The sequence below is a fragment of the Homo sapiens genome, chromosome 8, assembly GCF_000001405.40.
Source record: "Homo sapiens chromosome 8, GRCh38.p14 Primary Assembly".
In the NCBI taxonomy this organism is placed as follows: Eukaryota; Metazoa; Chordata; class Mammalia; order Primates; family Hominidae; genus Homo; species Homo sapiens.
In genome coordinates this window covers 38,075,507-38,081,506 of record NC_000008.11, presented here as the reverse complement: position 1 = coordinate 38,081,506, position 6,000 = coordinate 38,075,507, and the positions used below count along the sequence as shown (strand labels likewise).

The window sequence follows — 6,000 nt, the reverse complement described above, 5'->3', positions numbered from 1 at the left end:
AAAAGAATGTTAGCTCAATGTTGTGACTGTGACTTGCTCTAGGCCCCTCAGGAAGAACTTTAGAATAAAGGACAGCTGTCAGAGTTCAGTCCTCAGTTTCTCCTTATCTGAGGTCTGTGTGCCAGCAGATCCATTGGGTGGGGGTCCAGTCTCTGAAAAACAGTTCAGGGACACGCGCTAAGATGTTATCTTCAGTTTACATAGGGAACCAAACATTTCCTGGCTCTAGCTTCCTTTGCTGTTGTTTTAGGCTACTATTACATTCTTGCTTATCACGTTGCTCGTTTATTTATCAAGGCTAGCTAGGTGCTTGGAATTTTCTTTGAGGGAACTCAAGATTTTCCTTTATTTCCACGCTTGGGAGGGACTTGGCAGGCCTCTAACAAGTAGGTGGGGGAGTGGAGAGGGAGGGTGCGGTCCCTGCTTTGTCTCTCAGCACTTTGGGAGGCCAAGTTAGGAGGATCACTTGGGCCCATGGGTTGGAGACCAGCCTGGGCAACATAGTGAGACCCCGACTCTACAAAAAATTTAAAAAATTAGCTGGACTGGGCGTGATGGTTCACGCCTGTAATCCCAGCACTTTGGGAGGCCAAGGCAGGTGGATCACTTGAGGTCAGGAGTTCAAGACCAGCCTAGACAACATGGTGAAACCCCGTCTCTGCTAAAAATACAAAAATTAGCCGGTCATGGTGGCGGGCGCCTGTAATCCCAGCTACTCAGGAGGCTGAGGCAGGGGAATTGCTTGAACCCGGGAGGTGGAGGTTGCAGTGAGCTGAGATCACACCACTGCACTCCAGCCTTGGTGACAGAGTGAGACTCTGTCTCAAAAAAAAAAGAAAAAAAATTAGCCGAGTGTGATGGTGCATGCCTGTAGCCTTAGTTATTCAGGAGGCCAAGGCAGGAGGATTGTTTGAGCCCAGGAGGTCAAGGTTGCAGTGAGATGTGTTCACGCCACTCAGCCTCCTAAGTAGCTGGGACTACAGGTGTGTGCCATCGCACTTGGCTAATTTTAAAATTTTTGTAGAGACAGGATTTACTATGTTGCCCAGGTTGGTCTTGAACTCATGGACTCAAGCGATCCTCCTGCCTTGGCCTGCCGAAGTGCTTGGATTACAGTCGTGAGCCACTGCTCCCAGCCTGTACTGACCACAGGGCCTTCAATACCCAAGGGAGAGAACTTGTATGAAAACAAGTTATGTCCCATCCCCGTACCAGGTAAGAAAATAAGTTTTATCTGATGCATGGGAGTCCTTTTAAATTATCAGGCCCAAAGAGGCATTAAAATGAAATAGCAATCACGTCCTACTTTCCCCCACCCCATTTTGAGCTATGTGTTCATCTCTTGAAATTGCTTGCTATTGCTAAAAGTAGCCATAAATTAACCTAACAGTGCTGCAACAGCCACTATAACCCACACCCTATAGCTTAACAATGTATATAGCCAATCAGCAGCTTATGTTATTTTGATGGAAATTCTTGGTAAACAACTCAGGAACTGCCTCTTCTTTCCCTTTAAAAATCCACTTGTGGACCAGCACGGTGGCTCACACCTGTAATCCCAGCACTTTGGGAGGCTGAGGTGGGTGGATCACCTGAGGTCAGGAGTTCAAGACCAGCCTGGCCAACATGGTGAAACCCCATCTTTACCAAAAATTCAAAAATTAGCCAGGTGTTGTGGTGGGCACCTGTAATCTCAGCTACTCGGGAGGTTGAGGCAGGAGAATCGCTTGAACCCAGGAGAAAGAGGTTGCAGTGAGCCGAGATTGAGCCATTGCACTCTAGCCTGGGCGACAAGAGCAAAACTCTGTTTCAAAAAACAAAAAAAAGTCCACTTGTGGCTGGGCATGGTGGCTCACGCTTGTAATCCTAGCACTTTGGGAGGCTGAGACAGGCAGATCACCTGAGGTTGGGAGTTCGAGACCAGCCTGACCAACATGGAGAAATCCTGTCTCTACTAAAAATACAAAATTAGCCAGGCATGGTGGTGCGTGTCTGTAGTCCCAGCTACTCAGGAGGCTGAGGCAGGAGAATTGCTTGAACCTGGGAGGTGGAGGTTGTGGTGAACTGAGATCACGCCATTGCACTCCAGCCTGGGTAACAAGAGCGAAACTCCCTCTCAAAAAATAAATAAATAAATAAATAAATAAATCCACTTGTAACTGCTGCTAATTGGAATGTATATTCAGGAAACTTAAATCTGTGCTCCCATGTTACAATCCTCAAGCTTGGTGCAAATAAACTCTCTACTTATATTAATTTAGCTTCAGTTTATTCCATTTAAATATTAATTTAGCTTCAGTTTTTCCTCCAACACAGCCTTTGTTGAAGGCCTCTAGGCTCTCTCCTAACAAAGAACAGTGGGTCAGATGCCCTGGACTCGACTCCAAGGACTCACTCTCTCCCCCACTACGATGCCCCCATGTTGTTATCATCAATTAAGCAAAACAAAGCTTTCTGTGTTTGTTAAAGTCATGATGAAGATAATTATGCGGTAGTTCATCTCAATGGAGCAGTCATTCAGTCTCTGCTGAAGCTTCTGGGCCTTCATTTCTAGTGTTTATACACTGAGCCAACTAAGCATTCCTGGTTACTTCTACTTCCAGTAACCAGATATCTGAGTCCCATCAAACACAGTAAAAAGAGTTTTCTTCTTATTATTATTAGGAAAAGGTGAGCTCCATAAAAGGTGGGTATATATATTTTGAGATGGAGTCTCACTCTGTCAGCCAGGTTGGAGTGCAGCGGCGCGATCTTGGCTCACTGAAACCTCCGTCTCCAGGGTTCAAGCAATTCTTCTGCCTCAGCCTCTGGAGTAGCTGGGACTACAGGCGTGCACCACCAGGCCTGGCTTTTATTTATTTATTTATTTTTAGACAGAGCCTCGCTCTGTCACCCAGGCCAGGGTGCGGTGGCTTATCTCAACTCATTGCATGCAACCTCTGCCTCCTGGGTTCAAGCCATTCTCCTGCCTCAGCCTCCTGAGTAGCTGGGATTACAGGCACACGCTGCCATGCCCAGCTAATTTTTGTATTTGTAGTAAAGATGGGGTTTCACAGTGTTGTTCAGGCTGGTCTTGAACTACTGACCTCAGGTGATCCACCCTCCTCAGCCTCACAAAGTGCTGGGACTACAGGCGTGAGTCACCGCGCCTGGCTGTGGGTAGAGATTTGTGTCTGTTTTGTTTACTGATGTATCGTAGGCACCTAGAACCATGCCTGGCACATATAAGGCACTCAGTAAATATTTGTTGAATAAATGAAACTGCATTCTCTCCTGTGAATGAGGCTTGTTCCTTTATTTTTATTTATTTATTTATTTTTCAGACAGAGTCTCGCTCTGTCACCCAGGCTGGAGTGCAGTGGCATGATCTAGGCTCATTGCAACCTCCACCTCCCAGATTCAAGCAATTCTCATGCCTCAGCCTCCTGAGTAGCTGGGACTACAGGCACGCGCCAACAAGCCCAGCTAATTTTTTTTATTTTAGCAGAGATGGGGTTTCATCATGTTGCCCAGGCTGGTGTCAAACTCCTGAGCTCAGGCAATTTGCTCACCTTGGCCTTCCAAAATGCTAGGATTACAGGTGTCAGCCACCGTGCCCAGCCTGAGGCTTGTCACATTTTAGTGCCAAAGATGCCACCAACCCCACTGGGGAAGCAGCCCAGATGGGTTCAGCAAGGAGCTTGTAAAATAAACATAAAATTCTGGGCCGGGCACAGTGGCTCACGCCTGTAATTCCAGCACTTTGGGAGGCCAAGGCAGACAGATCACCTGAGGCCAGGAGTTCAGACCAGCCTGACCAACATGGAGAAACCCTGTCTCTACTAAAAATACAAAATTAGCCGGTCGTGGTGGTGTGCATCTGTAATCTCAGCTATTCGGGAGGCTGAGGCAGGAGAATCGCTTGAACCTGGGAGGCGGAGATTGCGGTGAGCCGAGATTGTGCCACTGCACTCCAGCCTAGGCAACAAGAGTGAAACTCTGTCTCAAAAAAAAAAAAAAATAATAAATAAAATAAAATTCTACATTCTACCCCACCCCCACCCCCACTGACTGAATGGTCAATACCCTTCTTGGCCAAGGGGAGCCTAGATGAACATTAAAAACTGAACTCCCTCAAGACCAGCCTGACCAACATGGAGAAACCCTGTCTCTAATAAAAATACAAAATTAGCTGGGTGTGGTGGCGGGCACCTGTAATCCCAGCTACTCGGGAGGCTGAAGCAGGAGAATTGCTTGAACTAGGGAGGCGGAGGTTGTGGTGAGCCGAGATTGTGCCACTGCACTCCAGCCTGGGCAACGAGTGAAACTCCATCTCAAAGAAATAAAATAAAATAAAATAAAATAAAATAATAAAATAAAATAAATAAAATAAAATAAAATAAAAAAACTGAACTCCCTGGCCAGCATTTTGGGAGGCTGAGGTGGGTGGATCACCTGAAGTCAGGAGTTCGAGACCACCCTGGCCAACATGGCGAAACCTTGTCTCTACTAAAAATACAAAATTTAGCTCCACATGGTGGTGTGTGCCTGTAATCCCAGCTACTTGGGAGGCTGAGGCACGAGAATCACTTGAACCTGGGAGGCAGAGGTTGCAGTGAGCCGAGATCTTGCCATTGCACTCCAGCCTGGGCAACAGAGCAAGACTCCATCTCAAAATAATAATAATAATAATAATAATAATAAATAAAATAAAGAATAGAAAAGAAAACTGAACTCCCAGCCATGACAGGAAGGGAGGTCGAACACGCCTTGTTATGCCCCCTCCCTTTTGGAGTTTAGGCACAACTGACCAGCATATTAAATAGAGATCATAAGACGGACAAACATTCCCTAGCAAGCTGACTGACAAACAGATTCTTTGTTGCAATAAGATACCACATTATAAATAAGACCCAAGGCTATCCCAAGCAGGAGTAAAGTCTAGCCTGCAGGCCAGCAATCTTGCTACATAGCATCCTTATCTTAAACATTCCTTTCTGCTGATTCCAAGTTTTCGACAGAGCCTTACTCCTTTAACCAACTGCAAATTCAAGAATCACTGAATCTACTTATACCTATAAGTCCCCACTTCAAGACATCCTGCCTTTTAGGGCTGAACCAATGTGTACCTTTCATGCATTGATATACGTCTTTGCCTATAACTCCTGCCTCCCTACAATGTATGAAACCAAAGGCTCATCAAGGCTCCTTCGGTCTGTGTTTTCCCCAGGGCTATGGTCACTCCTATTGGCTCAGAATCAGCCTCTTTAAAATATTTTACAGCTGGGCTCAGTGGCTCACACTTGTAATCCTAGCACTTTGGGAGGCCGAGGCGGGTGGATAGACTGAGGTCAGGAGTTCGAGACTAGCCTGGCCAACATAGTGAAACCCTGTCTCTACTAAAAATACAAAATTTAGCTGGGCATGGTGGCGGGAGCCTGTAATCCCAGCTATTTGGGAGGCTGAGGCAAGAGAATCGCTTGAACTTGGGAGGCGGAGGTTGCAGTGAGCCAAGATCGCACCACTGTACTCCAGCCTGGGTGACAGAGCAAGACTCCATTAAAAAATATATATATTATAATTTAAATATATATTTAATTATTTATATTTAAATATATATTAAATTATTTATATTTAAATATATATTATAATTTAAATATATAATAATTTAGTATATATTATAATTTAAATATATATTTAAATATATATTTAAATTAATATATATTATTTATAATAATATAATTTAAATATATATTTAAATATATATTAATTTAAATATATATATATATATATATATATATATATATATATATATTTTTTTTTTTTTTTTTTTTTTTTTTTGAGACAGAGTCTTGCTCTGTCGCCCAGGCTGGAGTGCAGTGGTGCGATCTCAGCTCACTGCAAGCTCCGCCTCCCTGGTTCACGTCATTCTCCTGCCTCAGCCTCCCGAGTAACTGGGACTACAGGCGCCCGCCACAACGCCCGACTAATTTTTTGTATTTTTTGTAGAGACGGGGTTTC

The 6,000-nt window shown here is 44.6% G+C and overlaps 1 annotated feature.

Moving 5' to 3' along the window:
• Positions 3,082–3,376: a silencer, noted in NCBI's record as "tiled region #11218; K562 Repressive non-DNase unmatched - State 7:EnhWF". NCBI's record gives its function as "represses a minimal TATA promoter and a strong SV40 promoter by Sharpr-MPRA in K562 cells {active_cell/tissue: K562}" and the evidence as "EXISTENCE:reporter gene assay evidence [ECO:0000049][PMID:27701403]".